Source organism: Homo sapiens, chromosome 13 (genome assembly GCF_000001405.40).
Source record: "Homo sapiens chromosome 13, GRCh38.p14 Primary Assembly".
In the NCBI taxonomy this organism is placed as follows: Eukaryota; Metazoa; Chordata; class Mammalia; order Primates; family Hominidae; genus Homo; species Homo sapiens.
Window position 1 is genome coordinate 28,659,063 of NC_000013.11, and position 21,289 is coordinate 28,680,351.

At 39.3% G+C, this 21,289-nt stretch overlaps 1 protein-coding gene across 1 annotated transcript; it reads left to right on the forward strand.

The window, feature by feature from the left end:
* On the forward strand, positions 68-19,897 carry POMP (proteasome maturation protein). The gene is made up of 6 exons (NM_015932.6): positions 68-125; positions 3,348-3,445; positions 5,447-5,507; positions 9,411-9,512; positions 13,277-13,370; positions 18,973-19,897. The coding sequence occupies exons 1-6, from the start codon at positions 123-125 to the stop codon at positions 19,038-19,040; spliced, it is 426 nt and encodes a 141-aa protein (NP_057016.1). The 5' UTR covers positions 68-122; the 3' UTR covers positions 19,041-19,897.

Consider the following 21,289-nt stretch of genomic DNA (forward strand, 5'->3'; position numbering starts at 1 on the left):
CCTTCCTCGCCAGGACGGACGCACTTCCGGCGGATGTGGGGGCCAGCCCTCGGAAACGGAAGTGAGCGGCGGGGTCGACTGACGGTAACGGGGCAGAGAGGCTGTTCGCAGAGCTGCGGAAGATGGTGAGTGGGTACCCGGGCGGCTGGAGTTCCACGCGGGCTCGGGACCGTGGCTCGGCAGAAACAGGCAGTCGCCTCCCAACCCGTCCCCGGTGGCGGCGGCGGCGGCAGCGTGGGGCTGAGGCCGGCCTCAGGCGCCATAATCTGTCGAGTCACGGGGTTTGGGTGGGTCGTGACTGTCGCCGGGGCCCGGCACTAGTCCCACTAGCAGTGCTTCGGCTTCATCCTGCTCCTCTTAGCTCGGTTTGCGCCCTTCCATCCCTTAGACCCCAGCAGGCCCAGACCTCCTCCCCTTACTTGGCGCAGAAGTGGAAAAGGCAGCCGTGAAAGTGCAACGTTCTGTGGGGTGGCGCTGGCGACCCTTTCCTTGACGGGTAACCTCTGGGAGCCCAGAGCTCTCAGACTCCTCATCTCCCCCAGCCCCCGCCCTTGTAACTGCCTAGTAAACAGCCCACAACTATAGGTCGCATTTGTGTAACGCAGCTTTGCTCTACAAACTTTTTTGAGAGCTTGTAGTGTGCTAGATGTTAGAGGGGAAAAAATCAGACAGTTGCTATTCCCTGTTTGCCAGTATTGTTAGTATATCTCCTCCCTCCTTCTCCTCCCCACCACTTTCTCTTTCTTTTTAACTTAGAAGTTGTGGTATTTGAGAAGAACACTGAGTCACCATTGCCACAGACTCTGATATCGGTACTGCTGGTAGGCCATCCATCCAAATCTAGAAAGTTTCTATTGGTAAATACTGCTAATCGTTATCTAAAAAGTTTTTTAGGCACTCTCAAATGTAACTAGTAGTTAGGTTTTCGTAGATTTGCCTTTCTCGGCTCCTTCCTTTATTAGAAACAGCAAGTACTAATCTTGATATTTTACAGAAGGAAATTGGGAAAAATGACAATAACAGAATCCAGAAGTCAGAATTCACCTTTTCTTTGTGCGTTGAAACCTTGTTACTTTACAATAAAGCAGTCCAGAAGGAGGAGAATGTTCATATAGGGAAGTAATAGAAGATACATTTGGAAAGCAACAATCACACATCTCTGCTGAAGGTCCCCAACTTCTGGTGGTTCAACAATCTTCTGACTTTATGATGGTGTGAAATCCATACACAGTCAGTAGAGGCCATATTTGAGTACCAATACAGCCATTCTGTTTTTCACTTTCAGTACAGTATTCAATAAATTACATGAGATACCCAGTACTTTTTAATAAAGTAGGCTTTGTATTAGATGATTTTGGCCGACTGTAGGCTAGTGTAAGTGTTCTGAGCACATTTAAGGTAGGCTAGGCTAAGGCCTGATGTTTAGTAGGTTAGGTGTGTTAAATGTGTTTTTGACTTTTGACATTTTCAATTTAAGATGGATTTATTAGGAAGTAACCCCATCATAAGTCAAGGAGCATTTGTAGTCCTGGTAGGAGTTCAGCTCCTTGGTGCAGATGAGTAAACAAGGCCAGAGAGGTTGGTGCTTTGCTGGCAGTCACAAAGTAGGTTAGTGACAGTCCACACTAGAGTCCAGATTCTTTTCCTCGTCCACCATGACTTCTTGTATGTAGGGGAGTTGGAACCTATTATGCAGGTTCTTTAGGTCCAGGCTAAGGAGTCTGAACTTTGTGCTTCAGACATCGATGAACCAACAAAGATTTTATAGCAGTTTTGTTGGAGGAGGTTTCATGCTTGAGGAAAACCTTGATATACAGAACTGGAAAATGGGTGAGTCTAAAGGCAGCAAGACCCAGTAGAATGCTGTTGAAGTTATCCATGTGTGATAGGCTGGGCTGGAGTGGTATAGTGAAGAAACCCTGCAAAGGATAAAATACCTGACTAAATCAAATATACAAACGAATTAAGAAATCAGTTAAAAAGCTGACTTCTCAGAATATTTTCTTCTAGAATAATATAAAATTTGATACTAAAACTACCTGTAGCTGTTTTACATTTTTCTGCAGAATCACAGGGATATTGGACTTGAGCAACAAGTGATTTAAAGTTAGCGTCTTGGGCCGTGCATGCTGGCTGACACCTGTAATTCCAGCACTTTGGGGGGTGCTGAGGCAGGAAGATGGCTTGAGCACAGGAGTTTGAGACTAGCCTGGCCATCATAGTTGAGACCTTATCTCCACAAAAAATAAAAAAATTAGCCAGGCGTGATGTTGCACGCCTGTAGTCCCAGCTACTTGAGAGGCTGAGGCAGGAGGATCGCTTGAACCTGGGAAGTCTAGGCTGCAGTTAGCCGTGATTGCTCGACTGCATTCCAGCCTGGATGACAGAGCAAGACCCTATCTCAAAAAGTAAATAAATAAAGTTAGCATCTCATGCTTTGCCTGTTGTAACACCATGTTTTCTTTGCTTGTTTAATATATTTTCATAAGCTGAAGCCCCGGGAGGTAGACATGTAGCTTCAGTATCTAGCAGAGTACCTGACACATAGTAGATGGCTAATAAGTATCTGGTGATTGCGCATTTCACAGTAGCGTAGGGTAATCATACACCAATACCAAATGCACTGTCTTTTTTACTTTGTTTTATACTATCCTGATTAGATACACATAGTTTTTATAGGTAGCGCTATCTTCATATAGAAACCAAACACTTTCTGAAATTCCCTTTTTTTCCCAGCTTCTCTACTTTTCTTTATCCATCCTGTCTGTTAATCCCATTTCTGTGTTGTTTTTCCTTGTCCTCAGGGAATAGTATTCCCGAGGATGCTGTCTTCAACTTTTTTATTCTGTGTTATACACTCTAACCTAAGGGAGTGGTTTTTCCAGGGGAAACAAATTCAATCATGCCATAACCTTTCAGAGGCTTTCAGTTTTGGAATAAAACCCATATTTCTTTGCACATAAGATGTTTCACTTTTGTATTTCATCAGCCTTTACTTCTGCCTCACTGGAAACATATTTAGCCAGTTATCTCAAACTACCTGAAGCTTGTTCATTTATATTTTCTTGCCTTTATTCATGTTATTTTTTCCTGGAATGCCTTTCAAACTGACAGCATTCAGAGATCACCTCAGGAATCCTTCCCACATCTAAATTTGGTATTTTCATTGTACCATGTGTGTCTCTATCATATCATAATGTTTAAGGCTTGCTGTAATTGTCTAGTCTGGACTTTTTGAGGGCCTCTTATTTTTCTGTCTCCTACTTAAACAATATTTTTGACACAGCTGCCTGGGTGTGTGTTTAAATTTTTTTTCTATTTAATAATGTTTTTTATTTGTGTTGTAGAATGCCAGAGGACTTGGATCTGAGCTAAAGGACAGTATTCCAGTTACTGAACTTTCAGCAAGTGGACCTTTTGAAAGTCATGATCTTCTTCGGAAAGGGTATATGGGGGAGTTATGACTTTGATTTTGTTATGTTTCTGTGAATTTTCACAATATTCTTTAAGTATTTTGATAGGCTATACATGTGTATTTAGTTGGCAGATGGCAAGTAATATACCTTACATGGGGTGCAGAGGGGAAGAGGCTTAGATATTTTCTGTAGTGGAAGAGGTGTCTCATCAAAGTAGTAGGTTCCCAATTAGAGCATCCTCCTAGGCAGTGGTGCCCATTAGCATGATTTGGTAGGATTCTTTTTATTTATTTTTTTGCTACTGATAACTTAGCCATTTGCCTTCTTGTCTTAACTATTAGGGTAATTCACTTTTCTTTGGGAGGCACTAGAACATAGCAGTTGAGAGATTAAACTCTGGATTCAGTCGGCCTGGGTTTGGATCGTGGCTCTGCTCTTTACTAGATGTGTGCCTTTGGACAAATCACATAATTAATGTCTCAGTGTCCTTATGGATAGAATAGGCCTAATAATAGTCTGTATCTTCTTTTGAGGAATAAATGAGTTAATACCTGAAAAATATTTTAAATGGTACCTGACATTAGAAGCACTCAGTATGTATTGGCTACCATTTTTTTTCTTTTCTAGCTTTAGCATGCAGTTACGCCATGTTTTTGATTTCCTTTTTGTTTCTGTATGTTTAGGTCTCAGTTTCTGGTACTAGACCATACTCTTTGCAGGTCACTTTTCTGCTTAATAAAATAAGGATAACGACCTTTCCCCCATAAACATTTTGTGTTTTGAATTTTTGAATTTTACATCTAATTTTAAAGTATTTACTCTTATTTTTTGTTTATTTATTTATTTTTTGAGATGGCATTTTCCTCTTGTTGCCCAGGCTGGAGTGCAATGGCGCGATCTCCCCTCATCGCAGCCTCCGCCTCCCGGGTTCAAGTGATTCTCCTGCCTCAGCCTCTTGAGTAGCTGGGATTACAGGCATGTGCCACCATGCCCGGCTAATTTTGTATTTTTAGTAGAGACGGGGTTTCTCTGTGTTGGTCAGGCTGGCCTTGAACTCCTGACCTCCAGTGATCCGTACACCTTGGCCTCCCAGAGTGCTGGGATTACAGGTGTGAGCCACTGCGTCTGGCCGTAATTTACTCTTACTATAATAGAATGGCATTCTAATGCTGGTGTCTGAGTACAAATATAATCCCTCATTACAGACTTTCAGTTTTGTAGTAAAAAAATGCAGCATATAGCCTGTGAAATTGGAGATATAATTTGATATTTATAATCAAGTTGATTGGCTAGGCAGTAACTAAGGTCTGAAGATTTTTTTCCCCCCACATGAAATGTTCCTTCTTCTTCCTGATTGGACTGGGGCAGGACCATTTTCAAAACCCACTTCCTGGATAATGTTTTGTAAAAAGACAATATTCAATAAACAATTGTTGCAGGGTTTCTAAGGTTTTTATTAGCTTTAAAATCCTAGTTTGGATAATAAGGTAGTCATCTTTATATAGCTAGAGTGATAAAGACCAGTGGCCTGGTTCTAGTTGTGCCTTACCTAACATACTTTATACATAGTAGGTGTTCAGTAAATGTTAAACCTATTGTTCAACATGTTTATTAAAGATATATTAAATATTGAAAGTGTTAGACCTGAAGGGAATAGGCTTAGTTTATATAGTGCAAGAAGTACCTCATCAGAGTAATAGCAATAAACATACATTCATTAAATTTCTTCTAGATGTGGCACCAGATTTTGGCAAGTTTTCCCTAGTGATTGAAGTCTTGACCACCAATGTCTATAATGGATACATTCTTACATTATTATATATACCTTTTTTTTTCCTTTTGGTGTGTAGGTCTATGAATTTTTAGCACATGTATCAATTCCTATGACTGTCACCACAGTCAAGATACAGAACAGTTTTGTCACCCCAAAAAACTCTCTCATGCCATCCCTTTATAGATATGATTTTGAGCTCTGGGTATTGAGTGATATTTAATCTCCTCTAAATGTTTTTTTTTTAATGTCCTTTCAGTTTTTCTTGTGTGAAAAATGAACTTTTGCCTAGTCATCCCCTTGAATTATCAGAAAAAAATGTAAGTATATTATTATGTCCTTATTTTTATCTTCTAATAGATAAATACTTTTACTAATATTGGTTTCATTTTATTAAAACAATTTTGGTACTGAGGATTTGCCCATGAAGAATATGAGGCGTTATTTTCAAACCCCTTGTAGGATAGACTTAAAAATTACACTGCTCCTCTAAAGCTCCCTTTCTATGCGTTCTTACCTGCCTTTTTAATGTACGTCTCCAAAGGGTGATCCACTTCTCCATTCCTCTCACAGGAATTTTCTCTTTCAATAATGCTGTTTCTTTTATATTTTTCCTGCCATTTTTGCTGTTGACTTCCAAGTTCATATCTCTAGTTTTGACCTCTTTAAGTCCTGCATCTCCGAGTTACTGTAGGACACAGCCACTAGGCACAGTAGGTACTTCGATGAATATGACATCATCCCCATCCTTAAATAACTTAAAATTTAATGAGGAAGACAAGCAGTGGGTAGGAGAAGGCTTCGTAAAATGCTAGAGAAGACCAAGGATGTGACAGCCACCTGTGCTTAGGGCTTTTTTGGAAGGCTTTATAGAAGAGGAGGGACCTTTGAACAGTTTTAGACCAGAAAGTTTACTCCTAAAGAGAGGATAGCATGTATACATGTCCAAAACACAATTTAAAGGATTCTTAAATAAACATTTAGAGGAAGAAGAAAAAGGTTTCTGACTACTTGGGGAAGATGATGCAGTTGTTAGGTAACAGAAAACTGATCTGTATTTTGTTTTTGTTGTTTGTTTGTTTCGCTTTCTAATAAGAGGATAGGTCTGCCTATAAGAAAGAGTAGAACAAATAATGTAATTATGAAATTGAAGTTCAAATTAGATGAGAAAAATAAAAAAATTCCTCATCGATTTAAGTGAATTCAGGTTTCAGGTGCAGAAGTTGACAGCCCAGAGTACACTTATAAGTATGTGAGTATGATTATAAAAGCACAGTTGATCATCTTTGAGAACTAATGGGAGAAATGAAAATTGGTTATAGATGGATACATATTCCACTTTTGTATAAAGGATCTAACTAAAAAATAAGATTGTCTGTGGTAACATTGATCCCTGAAACTGTTTCTTAAGTGGACTATTGAGTGAGCTGTGAGCATTTAATAGGGTAAGCAGTGATCATCAGCATCTGAATGAACTCAGCAAATTAATTTTAGTTCACTCTTTTACTCAGTTGCCAAATGGGTCAGTCAAGGGATCAAATTATCTGACAAGGGATAAGATTGAGGATTACATGGTGGATTATTAACCGAGTGAAAGTAGTGTAGGGTAAAGTATATGAGGTTGGTAACTGTACCCAGAGAACGGTGATTAGGGAATAGTCAATTTGGAGGGAATATTTTGATAGGGCTTTTTGGCCTCTGTCTACATCTTAGGTAGTCAGGTGGACACATAGGAAGGATAAGTATTTTTCAAGGACTTGTGGGCAACCAAAGAAAGAATGTATATTAGGTTTTTGGAAAAAAGGTTGAGAAGGATAGTTCATTCTGTTGAATAATTGAACTATATCATGGTGATAAAATAGACCAAAGTCTAGACCAAAATTTAAGGAAAACATTTATAGAGGTGAGTGTGAAGTTCTGCGTTTGGATTCAAAAAATGAATTCTACACCTTTGGGCAGGGTAAAGTGACTTGCTCTGTAAAACTTGACTATTTTAATTGACTGTATACTCACTATAAGCCAGCAGATTACGTTAGTTACTAAAAAGAAAGGTTAATGCAGTCTTGGGCTTTGTTAATAAGATGGGGCTCAAATCAAGGGAGATTATATTATTTTCCTGTGTATTAGTCTGGCTATTAGATTTGGAATATTGGTTTAGTTCTAAGCAATACATATTAAGAGAAACTGACAAATCTGAGTGAGACTAGGTGGAACTGTGAAGAATCTAAAAACTTCAGAGATCTTTTTGAGACTTACATACATCTACTGCATCTCTTCTTCTTTAATCATTTAGCCAGCTAATGGCAGTCTCACTCTTTATGTGACTCTTACTGTCTATTATAAATCCTTCAGCATGGATTGTGTAGTTGAACTATGTGGGCACCCCACTTTGCTAAGTAAACTTGGGGCATATTGCTTAATTTTCTTTAAGCCTTAGTCTTCTCATCTGGAGTTAGTAATAGCCCATCCTTGGCATATTGCTGGCCTCTAGTAGCTCTGCATGATTGGGAGCTTCAGTGGTGATAGTGATGGAAGATGGCCATCATCATTTGTACCAGTGGTTCTCAACTAGGGGAGGATCATCCTCCTGCCCCCTACAAGGGAACAGTTGGCAAAGTCTGAGGACATTTTAGGTTGTCACAAGTGGTGCGGTGGGGGATGGGGGGATGTAATATTGGCATCTATGGGGTAGAGGCCAGGGATGCTGCCAAACATCCTACAGTACACAGGACAGCCTGCCACAGTGAAGAATTATCTGGCCCAAGAAATCAGTAGTGCGGAGGGTTGAGATACATACATAATGTCTTCCAAACTGGATTATAATCTCCAAGGTAGGCTGTTCAGTTTTGTTGTGTGTTGCCACAGAGCCTAATTTTGCACACGGTTGCTAACTTACATGTTGATTGATAATTACAGTATTAATATCACATTACAAGATGGCTGTATTCATCAAAATTTACATAAATTGAGTTATTATACATAAAATTACATTTACTGCTGGGTGTGGTGGGGTGTGCCTGTAGTCCCAGCGGCGTGGGAGGCTGAGGCGGGGGATTGCTTGAGCCTGGTAATTCGAGGCTGTAGTGCTCTATAATCGTGCCTGTGAATAGCCACTGCACTCCAGCCACATAGCAAGACCCGTCTCTTAGAATAAAATTGTATTATCATGAGGATAAGCCAATATTTAAAGCAAACCCTTCACTTAGAACTTCAGATCATATACCCATAATAAAATACTGCAGGTTTTCCCTAAGGACCATCTGTCAAAATTTGCTGTGTAAAGCTAAAGTAATTAAAAAGCATTTGGTTAGTCACCTTACTTTCAAACTTCATAGTCATATCCCAAGTAGGTGCTAATCTCTCAATAGATTTTTGTTCAAAATGACCTTTTTGATTACTATTAGAAGACAATGTTATCAAGAGAGTAGCGTGTAATAAAAAATGACAAGAAATGACTTTACCTCATTATAATCACCTTAGCTCAGACAAATCTTTGTAACAGTCTGTTTGCATATTACATTCACTATCCTTAGGAGCCATTTTTGGAAACTGTTTTAGAATCCATGAGTCAAGTCGATTCATTTTGCCTGAAATACATTAAGTTATGGCCAAAGTTCCCTAAATGTAATATCAGTACTTAGTGAAAGTATGATCCAGGAAAAATTGCTGATTAGTACCCAATACAAATTGAATAAACTTTTGAGAGATGTTTGTTTTTCCCCTGAGGCAAGTACCAAAAATAAGTGGAGTTTAAACATAGTTTAATTAACAGGATGATTTAGTGGTCAGATTATTTCTTTTGCTGAATCCTTTTAAATATATGCCTTCATACTTAGAAATTAACTATTTTTGTCAGTGGATGTGACATTTTCTGGATCTCAAATTACACCTTTGCTAGTTTTGCAGTACTTTTAATCAAAAGCGCTAAAATATGATTGTCTTGTAAATCTACTTTTGAATAGGAGACACATTCCTTTACTTTTATAAATTTGGAATTTTGGTAGTAATTTTACTCTGGTAAAAGTACACCTGCATGCTAAATGAAATATAGACATATGTGGTCTAAAATTTGTCAGAAAAAATTAGTAAAAATACTTAGTTTTTATTACAGGTATGGATATTAAAATTCTTCATCTAACTATTGTGTTATATATATGCCACTGCTAACTGTTTTGAAAGCAGAGTATTGAGTGTAATGTTTAAAATTACATTGTCTTTTGTAGTTCCAGCTCAACCAAGATAAAATGAATTTTTCCACACTGAGAAACATTCAGGGTCTATTTGCTCCGCTAAAATTACAGATGGAATTCAAGGCAGTGCAGCAGGTGAGTTGATGGATCTCTGTTGCATATGTGTCGATATCATTCATGAGGAATCTTCTGTTTTCATAACAGCTATTTATACCTTATCTACCTTACAACCTATTCTACTTCCCTCCCCCTTTTTAGGGTATGACCTTGATTTCTACTTCATAGAGGGAAAAAAGAAGTCATTAAATGGAAAACTTCAAATTACAGGCTCAGTGTCTGAAAACTTACCTGCATCTGCTTTCATGTTTTTCTGGGTTTTTTTTTTATGTATTACATTGAATTTGAGATCCCTCTAAGAATATCCAAGTGGAGGTGTCAAGTATACAATTTGTATATAGTTGAATATACCTGTTTCTAAGGAATAAGTACTTGGAAAATGTCCTTCCAATTATGTAAGAACCACCCTCCTACCTGTGCTTTGGATTCTATCCTGTTACATTACTTCAGGAAAATCCCTTTATCAATGATGCCTTCTCAAGCTGATATCTTTAACCCCTCTCTGCTTGCTCTGTCTCAGCAGTAGCATTTGAACCGCTGTTGTCTTTTAAAACAAAAAAAAATTGTATCAATTTCAAATTCCTTTATAGTAACTTGTCTCTCATTGAGTGTGCTTTTGCTTCTTGAAAAGTTGTCTACATTTGCTTTCTATACTCCTTTCCCTGCTATTTATTTAACCCACTGTTTCTGTCTCCCATGACACCAATGAAACTGCTCCTGAACAATGTGGACATTTTTACCTTCACTTTACTTCATCTCCCTGTAGTATTTGACACTAATAATGGCTTCTTCCTTTTTCCCTTGGCTTTTATGTTTTTACTTTGTATTTATTTTTTTGATACAGGATCTCATTCTGTCATCCAGGCTGGAGTGCAGTGGTATGATCATAGCTCACTGCATCCTCAAACTCCTGGGCTCAAGCAATCCTCTTGCCTCACTCTCCTGAGTAGCAGGGACTACAGTCACTTGCTACCTCGCCTGGCTAGTTTTAAAAATTATGATTTGTAGAAACGGGCTCTTGCTATGTTGCCTAGGCTGGTCCTAAACTCCTGGCCTCAAGCTATCATCCCACCTCCTTGGCTTTTAGAACACCACACTTTCCTGATGTCCTCCTTTCTGAATCCTTGTTCTCAGGTGTCTCTGTGTAGGTTCCATTTGTTTTGCCTGTTTCCTAAAATGCCAGTTTTGTTAGTGCCCCATCTCTAGTCCTTTCCTGACCCTATTTCCTACTTGTTGCTTTAGTTATCAATTATATGTTGATGATTCCAACTGGGCGTGGTGCCTCACACCTGTAATCCCAGCACTTTGGGAGGCCAAGGTGGGTGGATCACTCAAGCTCAGGTGTTCAAGACCAGCCTGGGCAACATGGCAAAACCCCATCTCTACAAAAAAAAATACAACAAATGTGCCAGCCGTGGTGGTGCACACCTATAGTCCCAGCTACTCAGGAGGCTGAGGTGGGAGGATCATTTGAGCCTGGGAGTCGGAGGTTGCAGTGAGCCGAGATCGTGCCACTACACTCCAGCCTAGGTGACAGAATGAGACTCCGTCTCAAAAAATAAAATATGTTGATGACCCCCAAGTTACAATTCTCATGAGCTATAAACCTATAGGCTTTTCCAATTGGAAAGCCCAATTGGAAGTCCCACAGGCACCTCCAGTTTTACATGGACAAGTACAGAATAACTCATAATCCCATAATCCCCCACATACTCCTTATCCCATATGAATAGGTTTCTGCCTAAGGCAGAAATTGGATAATTAGCCTTGGTTATGTCACCTAGCACCCATCCTAACCTCTTCCCCTGCTCCCCCAAATCATTCAGTTTATTACTTGCTCTCCCCACCATTGCTACTATGCTGGTCCTTGCCCCTGTCAGACTTCATCTGGATTACTGCAACACTCATCCCTGCTGCCCCTCCAATCCTTGTTAAGACTCTAATCAGAATAATCTTTGTAAAACACAGATTTGATTATGTCATTCCCCTCACTTTACCCTCTAAATAAAAATAAAACCCAACACTTAGTGTGGCTCTGTCCATGAATTGGCTCCTTGCTTCCCACCACACTTCTTATCCTCTTAAACTACTTGCAGTTTCCTAATTCATTAAGTTCTTTCACTGTTAGGCGTTTGCACACATTTCTCCTACTGGTGCAGATTCCTTTCTCTGACCTAGCTAAATTGTCTTTTTCAATAAATTTCTATTGGCCGAGCTGGGTGGCTCATGCCTGTAATCCCAGCACTTTGGGAGGCCGAGGCAGATGGATCACCTGAGGTCAGGAGTTCGAGACTAGCCTGGCCAACATGGTGAAACCCCGTCTCTACTAAAAATACAAAAATTAGCCAGGCCTGGTGGCATGTGCCTGTAATCCCAGCTACTCGGGAGGCTGAGGCAGGAGAATTGCCTGAACCCAGGAGACAGAGGTTGCAGTGAGCCAAAATCACACCATTGCACTCCAGCCTGGGCGACAAGAGCAAAACTCCATCTCCAAAAAAAATAATAATAAGATAAATTCTACTAATACTATCAATTGTATTTGGCTAAGTCATTCTGGAAGCTACTCGTTTTCCAAAGATAAAGCTCTTAAAAAACATGGTTTTGAGTAACCTAGGGTTGAATCTTGGCTTAGCCATCTACTAGTCTTAAGAACTTGAGTAAGCTGGAGAGCTTTCTGAACCTTAGATTTTTTAATTTAATGTGAAATAAGGAGAACAGTAAGAGTAGCATAGGATTATTCTGAAGATTAAATGAAATCACATGTTTGGCACAAAATTGTTAGCTTCCCTTTTTATTTTCCTCTTACTCAGATTTCAACTACAGATTGCTCAAATTCTGGATTTAAGTTTTTAATACTATTTGATCCAAATATCTTTGCCCAGAATTCTCTGTCTTTTTTTTTTTTTTCTTATCTCTATACTTTTGCAGTTTTGGGTTGTCAAGATGTATAACAGCTGCCTGCTCCTCCCTGCTTTTGATGCATTCTTAGGACTGTACTCTGATCTAACTACCAGACCCCTTGCTGTCTGGTTTAATTTACAGGTTCCTATTTTTGTTTCTTCCTCTTCCTCCCACTTCCTTTTTTTTTTTAGGTTTGACAATCTAGAGAAATTTTTCCACACTATAAAGATTTTAAATATCTCTATGGAACATTAGTAATTGAAAATAATATATTTAGTCTGGATACATTTTGTTGGGGGTGGGGGGAATGTGAGAAACTGCCCTCTTAGATTCTAACGGTGTGATTATCTTTAAAATACTACTATCATTTAGTCAAAGACCACCTATTTTGGTAGTCTGTGGGAATATCAAAAATTATCTGCATTAGCTGGGCTTGGTGACATGGACCTGTAATCCCAGTTTTAGTGGGAGGATCACTAGAGCCCAGGAGTTTGAGACCAGCCTAAGCAACCTATTGAGTTGGACTTTCTTCAGGAATTTGATCATCCTACATGTATCAGGAATGAGGCGTGATGTTAAGCTCTGGGATTTTGCATTTCATTACATGGTATATGCCGTAGTTTTCCTGAGCAGAAGCAAAGCCTCAAAATACATGCACACCAGGTAGGATTATTGTTAATGAAAAGTATAATTTCAGTGTCTTTACAACTTAGTTTGTGTCTAAAATATGAACTAGTGTTTTTTTCCACTTGTTAAATTGATCTTGTATTTGGTTTTGCGAATTTTCAAACAAAGAATAAAGAACATGAAATTAGACTATATATTCTGTCATTTTCCCCTGAGTTTTTTCTAATCTTGTCCCTTCATACTTTTCCCCAAAGGTTCAGCGTCTTCCATTTCTTTCAAGCTCAAATCTTTCACTGGATGTTTTGAGGGGTAATGATGAGACTATTGGATTTGAGGATATTCTTAATGGTAAGTGTCATTCAGCACCTTTTTATGGAGCCCTTGTAATTTAAAAGGCAAACAGCTGCAAAAAGAATAGGCAAAATTCTTGTCCTCATGGAACTTACAGCTGATTGGGTTCACTTTATTCATTGCATTAAGATAAAGTTTAATGGTAGTAACTGTTCTTTAACTGTTTTTAAAAGTGAAGATTGGCTGGGTGCGGTGGCTCACGTGTAATCCCAGCACTTTGGGAGGCCGGGGTGGGCAGATCACCTCAGGTCAGGTGTTTGAGACAAGCCTGGCCAACATGGTGAAACCCTGTCTCTACTAAAAATATAAAAAGAAAAAAAGTGAAAATTATTTATGAAATTCTAAGAGTACATAGTCATTTCAGTCTAGTAATGGTGGTTATTCACTTCATGTCCTGAGCTTCAAGTGTAATATGTCAGTCTGATATTCCTAGGGTGACTTAAACAATGATAATTATTTCAGAATTCACATTGTTGGGATGTGACTGGTGTTGTTTTTGTGTGTTTAGTTTGATTTTGGGGTTTTTTGACTAGCATTTTAAACAACTGGAAAATAAATCTTTCTTTAAAAAGTAGCTCCCCAAAAAAGTAATTTTTGTACTTCTACAGGTGATAAATAGGAAAGAGGAATCTGTCTTTTTTTTTTTTTTTTTCAAGATGGAGTCTTGTGCTGTTACCCGGGCTGGAGTGCAGTGGCGCAATCTCAGCTCACTGCAACTTCCGCCTCCTGAGTTCAAGCAATTCTCCTGCCTCAGCCTCCCAAGTAGCTGGGATTACAGGCACCCATCACCACACCCGGCTAATTTTTGTATTTTTAGTAGAGACGGGGTTTTACCATGTTGGCCAGGCTGGTCTCGAACTCCTGACCTTGTGATCTGCCCGCCTCGGCCTCCCAAAGTGCTGGGATTAGAGGCGTGAGCCACTGCACCCGGCCGAATCTGTTATTTTTAATAAAATTCCCTGAATAATTGTAAATGAATTTAAGTAAGAACAATATATGCAGCATCCTCTATTTTTTCTGGTCCTGAGGAAGATAAACAAATACAATCCTGTCCAATGCTGCCTCTGCTCGTTATGCCCCAGCAGTGCAGGAGAAACAAAAATATCCAACAGGATTAAGTTTTATTAGTTTTGCTTGGCTGCTGATGTCCGGTAAGGAAATGCTGTGGACATAACAGAAGTCTAGTGAGCCTCCTTTCAGAATCTTCCCTGAGGGAGCATTTTGGATGCAGGAAAAGCTGGGATTCTTAAGCTTTTACATTGAACTTAGACCTTATTTAAAACTACTAAGGTGATAGTTCAGGTCTTTAGTTACAAAAGCATTCATTTAAAAATCTGCTTCTGTAATTCTGTTTAAAGAAAGGGAGAGGGACTTAGGAGCATTTATCTAGTCAGTCAAATATGTGTCAGGCACTGGGCTAGGCTCTGAATATACAGCTGTGAACAAAACAAATATCTGTGCTTTCAAATGGGGGAGATAAACACATAAACACAAATATACAATTTGATAATTCTAGGAATAAAAAGGATGTTTTTGGGTTGGGAGGGCACATACCTCTGGGAATACAACACAGAAGTGAATTTCTGAAAGAAACATGAAATCATTGACCTAGAAGTAGAAGGAGAGTATTTCAGACAGAAGAGATGAGTATGTTCAGGGTATGTAACCTGAGAACAGCTGAAGAACTCTGAACGGTTTGAGATCTTACTCTACTTTGAAGCTAACTTGTTAGCCTGCCATGAATTCATGGATGCTGGCAGAAGACAAGAGACTCCTAAAGGACAGTTTCTTATTCATAGCAATAGCGTAGCCAGAGTATCAGCATTTCTTTTGGTTCCCTTAGCCCCACTTCCTATGGGGCAGCTAAGAAGAGGGTAAGGTGAAGCCTTGTACATTGAGTGTGTTACGTTAGAGGAGAGGAACTCCATGTTCAGGCCACCTCAGCCTTATAACTGGCAGTAAACCTGCCTGTCCTGTGCTGCTTTGTCTTATGAGGCTGAAACGGCTTTGGAAAGATAGCCTAGAACAAAGGCAGTTTAGTGTCTCTGCTCCCAGCTTGCAGAATGGAGAGACCAATAGAGAACTGTCTCCCAGCATATATAAGAGCACTTTAAGAAGGCCCATATGGCTGGCATGTTTTGAGCAAAGTAGAGAGTAGAATAAGGTTGAGATCAAAAAGCTCAGCAAGGAACAGATGAATCAGGGCCTACAGACCATGAAAAGAAGTTTAGAATTTCTTCAGAATGCAAAAAAAGGCCATTGAGCAGTTTTAAGTAAGGATGTAATGTGATGGAATTATATGTTTAAAAAGGTCACTAGCTGGCTGGATGTGGTGGCTCAGATCCATAATCCCAGCACTCTGGGAGGCAGAGGTGGGAGGATCAGTTTAGCCAAGGAGTTTGAGACCAGCCTGGGTAAGATGAGACCCTGTCTCTACAATTTTTTTTTTTTAAATTAATTGGGCATAGTGGTGTGCAGCTGTAGTCCCAGGTACTCAGGAGGCTGAGGCAGGAGGATCACTTGAGCCCAGGAATTTGAGGCCACAGTGAGCAGGGATCACACCAGTGTACTCCAGCCTGGGCGACAGAGTGAAACCCTATCTCAAAAAATAAAAAATAAGCCACTTGCTATCTTGTGGGCATCTTTTAAAATTCATTCCTTGTGTCTCTCTAAGGTAGCTATTAGGAAAAATCACCTGTTTAGGTAGATTTTTTTTGTTTTGGAGACACGAGTCTAGCTCTGTCACCCAGGCTGGAGTGCAGTGGCGCGATCTCGGCTTACTGTAACCTCCACCTCCTGGGTTCAAGCAATTCTCCTGCCTCAGCCTCCCAGGTAGCTGGGATTACAGGTGCCCACGACCACACCTGCCTAATTTTGTATTTTAGTAGAGTCAGGGTTTCACCATCTTGGCCAAGCTGGTCTCAAATTCCTGACCTCCGGTAGTCTGCCCGCCTCAGCCTCCCAAAGTGCTGGGATTACAGGCGTGAGCCATCACGCCCGGCCAGGTAGATGATTTTTATCCACCTGGTAGATGATTACAGTGAGACCACTGTATTTGGGGTAGTTTTTTTCTTGTGGGAACTGTTATTGCATAATATACGGTTAACTTAGGGCTTCACCTTAGGGACCTGAATTAGCTGTTCCTTTCTGCCTCAAATAGTTTACCCTCATTTTTCAGATCCCAACCTAAATATTACTCAGAGAGTCCTCCGTTAACTACTGTTAGTCTGTTCTTGCATTGCTATAAAGAAATACCTGAAGCTGGGTAATTTGTAAAGAAAATTTATTTTGGCATATGGTTCCTCAGGCTGTACAGGAAGCATAGTGCTGGTATCTGCTTCTGGTAAGGGCCTCAGGAAGCTTACAATCGTGGCAGAAGACAAAGGGGGGCCAGTGAATTATATGGCGAGAGGGAGCAAGAGAGTGAGGGGGCTGCCACACAGCTTTAAACAACCAGAACTTGTGTGAACTCAGAACAAGAACTCACTTATCCGGGGGGTGGTGCTAGACCATCCATGAAGTGTTCAACTCTGTGGTCCAGTTACCTCCCTACAGGGCCACCTTCCGCACTGGGAATCACATGGCTTTGTTTTTTTTCTCTCTCTGTCACCCAGGCTGGAGTGCAGTGGCGCGATCTCTGCTCACTGCAAGCTCTGCCTCCCGGGTTCAAGCGATTCTCCTGCCTCAGACTCCTGAGTAGCTGGGACTACAGGCGCCCACCACCACGCCTGGCTAATTTTTTGTATTTTTACTAGAGATGGGGTTTCACCGTGTTAGCCAGGATGGTCTCGATCTCCTGACCTCGTGATCTGCCCACCTCGGCCTTCCAAAGTGCTGGGATTACAAGCGTGGGCCACCGCGCCTGGCCGGGAATCACATTTCCAACATGAGATTTGGAGGGGACAAACATCCAAACCATATCAACTACCTAATCTAAAGTAATCCCCGCTCTGTCACCCTGCCTTATATTAATTCTTTACATAACACTTATGTGATATTTTTCTTATTTATTATTTGTCCAACTTAAATATACGTGTCAGGAGAGCTGGAGATTTTTTTCTTGTTAACAGTTGTGTTCCCAGTACCTGATAGGGGGCTTGATCCATAGTTAAGGGTCATGTTGATCACATTCTTATCACCTTTGACACAAAACACAGTGTTAAGTCTATAATCAGAGAGTAGCTTGTTAATCTAAATACTGTGTAAAGACTGTGACAGTATTGGAGATGATGACTTTTTTGCCTGCTTATCAGTGAAGTACTTAGGCAAGTTAATTCTGTACATTTTACAAGATTAAGAAGGACGTATAAGGACACTAGTAGAATCAAAAATAGACTTTTTCTTAATGCTGGAAGGGGACTTTCATGTACTCTAATCCCCTAACTGGAAGATGAGTAAATGGAAGCTCACAGAGGCTCAGTCCTCACTCAGAGTCTCACGGCGAGCTTGTGGTACAACAGATGCAAAACCCGTCTCCACCAGTGCCTTGCTTACATGATATGCTGTCTTTTGGTGCAAGTGATTTATTTAATAAATGCATTTTATTAAAGAAGCTTTAAAAAGCAGGGTGTGGAGAAAAGTTTAGTTACATAAATGAGTATATTCTTTGTGCAAAAATTTGAAATATTACCATTGAAACTCAGATTTGCTGTAGTGACCCTCAATCCCATTTTTCTCGTTCCCTAATTACCGGCTGTTTTAGTTTGGTTTAGTCTGTCCTTCCAGACTGTTCTGCGTGTCTTTCTATGTAGTCAAAAATATTGCCTTTTTTTTTTTTAAGTTGAGGTTTTGAGTGCCTTTTATATACACAGCAGTTTATTAATCTCCAGTCTCTTAGGAGGTCCAGTGAGGAAACATCCACATTGTACTGAACTGTTCCTCTTGGTAGCCACCATTATTATGTGCAGGGTTATTCATTTTTACAAAGTGATTTTACGATTTAGTTCATTAGGTTTTTATTCTGTTTCTAGTCCTATGTTGAGTAGAGGACAAAGAAAAAGTCTCTGTCTTTAGGAAGCTTATGCTTGGTATTAATTTTAAAAGTTCTTTTAGGTGTATAATCACAGTTAAAATAAGGCTTTTGTCTGACTCATCTGTAAACACAAAAGTGATGATTTTTAAAGGTTTTCTTTCTTAAGAATTCTTACGTTTGTGTGGATACAACAGGTCAGAAGACAATACAGATAAAACATTTTTGTGAATTAAGAGATTGTTTCCCGTCCTGTGGGAAGCCACTAGAAAACTTAAGAACTTTGAAAAAAAAACTTTTGTCAATCTGTTTTTTCTTTTTAAATCCACTATTTTGAGATATTATTGACATACAATAAAGTACACCTATTTTTAAGTGTACAGTTCTGTGGGTTTTAATTAACATGGAACCTGGTCTCCTAAACAGAGGAGTAGAATGTTTTCATTGCCTCACAAAGTTCCCTTGGTCCCTTTTCAGTCAGTCACCCCACCCCAGCCCCAGGCAATCACTGGTTTGTTTTCTATAACTTTAGGTTAGTTTTGACTCTTCTGGATTCTTATGTAAGCAGAATCATTGAATGTATCTCTTTTTTGAGAGTCTTTTAAAATGTTTGTTTTTGTTTGCTTTCAGATCCATCACAAAGCGAAGTCATGGGAGAGCCACACTTGATGGTGGAATATAAACTTGGTTTACTGTAATAGTGTGCTGTTCATGGAAACCGAGGGCTGCATCTTGTTTATAGTCATCTTTGTACTGTAATTTGATGTACACAACATTAAAAGTACTGACACCTGAGAATTTCTGCTCAAGTAGTATCAGTGATCATTTAAAATTTGGAGGGGTCTTTGGTTTACAGCCATGTGACAATTAAAAGCACTAAAGGGAGATCATGTTAAAGCTCTTAATTTATATTAAAACAGTAGCCTTTGTCTTTAAAAAAGTTGTTGCTCATGAATATTATAAAATGATCTACAGGTTTCAATTCAACCTGTTTCTAGGTTTTTTTGTAAATTTAGTTTTGATTAAGCATTATAAGCATTTGAGTCTATAAACTTTATAGTAGCATCTTTCAGAATAAACATTTTTAATTGATTTCAGTGGCAACTCTCAAATTGATTACAATATGAGATATATCAGTGTCGTCCATTAACACTCATAAGAATAATATTTACTGTGTCAGTGCTATTTTAGGATTATAGTTATTGTTTGATTATTTCAGGTTGAAAAGTAGAAGTTCCAAGGTTTTGATTTTGGTCTGGTCTTTAAGTGAAAAATTAAAGCAACCAGTAGATGTAGGTTAAACTTTTACTTCATAGACTTAATATGTAATTAATATATTGCCAAGCAACACTGTTAAAGAAAAGTAAAACTCATTTTTTCTTGTTCTTAATTTATATATTACAAGATACTGTAAGGTATTCTTTATGAAGTTGATATATAAAAATTTACATTTTTAGAACATTAGTGAATGGATCATCTTTTACAATTAAAAGTATATTTTGATTATCAGTTTCTTAGGAACATCTTTGATTAGATAAATTACTGATTTGAAACATTTGGCAATGTCTAGAGACTTTTTGGAGTTACAACTTTGGGGTTGGGCTGCTACTGGCATCTAGTGGGTAGAAGCCAGGAATACAGCTAAAGATCCTAAAATGCACGGAACATCAGCATCAATTTATGGTCTTGTAACTAGTTGAAGACACTAAAGGGAAATGAATTTAAAACTCACAATTTATATTTGTACAGTAGCATTCTATGTCTTTAAAAAACTTACTTATGAACATTCTAAAACCATCTACATACAGTTTGCACTCTGCAACCAAGATCATTTGGTTCAAAATGTCAGTAGTTGCTAAAGTTGACAAACCTTGAGAAAAGTCAAGTACACTTAAAAAATTTCTTTTGTTGCTCAGGCTGGAGTACAGTGGCGAGATCATGGTTCATTGCAGCTGAGACTTCCCAGGCTCAAGCAATCCTCCCACCTCAGCCTCCCAAGTAGCTGGGAGTACAGGGGTGCATCTCCACACCTGGCTAATTTTTTATTTTTTTATAGAAATGGAGTTTCGCTATATATTGCCCAGACTGGTCTTGAACTCCTGGCCTCTAGTAATCCTCCTGCCTTGGCCTCCCCAAAGTGCTGGGATTACAGGCATGAGCCACTGCACCTGGCCCGTTACACATTTTTAAAATAGATATCTTGCTCTTACCTATTGAGATTAAGTTTAGAATCGTCTTTGCTAATACAGTGTTCTCCAGCCCACTTTACACTTAAATAATAAGAAAATGTAGAAATAATAAAGATTCACTAATTGCTTCTACATATATTCTCCTTAATTAAGGAAGTTGGAGATTTCTTCTGTACCTTAAACCTAGGAATAATAGATAACCCTTCCTGACCAGTAGAGGGTACTGTGTTTAAGAGTGTAGTTTAAATGGAAAATGTGAGGCTTTAATATAGAACTTGGTAATCACAAATAACACTTTCTGATGGTCTTTTTGCCTCCTCTCTCCTCTTTTAACCTTTGTGTTACCAGTGGCCCTCACCCCTGGATGCTTATAGGAATCAGCTGGGAATCTTGAAGAAATTTTAGTGTCAGTATTTTAATCTCATAAATTCCAGTAGGACTAGTCTGAAATGGATCCCAGGAAGTATATTTTTTGAAAGCTCTCCACGTTGAGAACCTTTTATATGCTTTATTCCCTTTCTTTGCTTGCTCTGCCTTTGTGTTAGTGACAATTGCCAATTGCAATTCCCAGGTTGTGACCTGTGCTTCTGACCGACTGGTTGCAAATTGGGGTTCCCACTTTCCCTCTCCTTGGGTTTCATAATTTGCTAGGGCAGCTCATAGAACTCAGGGGAACACTTTACTTACATTTATCTATTTATTATAAAAGATATTGCAAGGGCTACAGATGAACAGCCAGATGGAGGTGATGCATAGGG

Excerpts from the sequence above, each read along its gene's own strand:
- POMP (NM_015932.6), top strand. Across the intron at positions 3,446-5,446 it reads CATGATCTTCTTCGGAAAGG|TTTTTCTTGTGTGAAAAATG; the intron begins GTATATGGGGGA and ends ATGTCCTTTCAG. Across the intron at positions 5,508-9,410 it reads TTGAATTATCAGAAAAAAAT|TTCCAGCTCAACCAAGATAA; the intron begins GTAAGTATATTA and ends TGTCTTTTGTAG.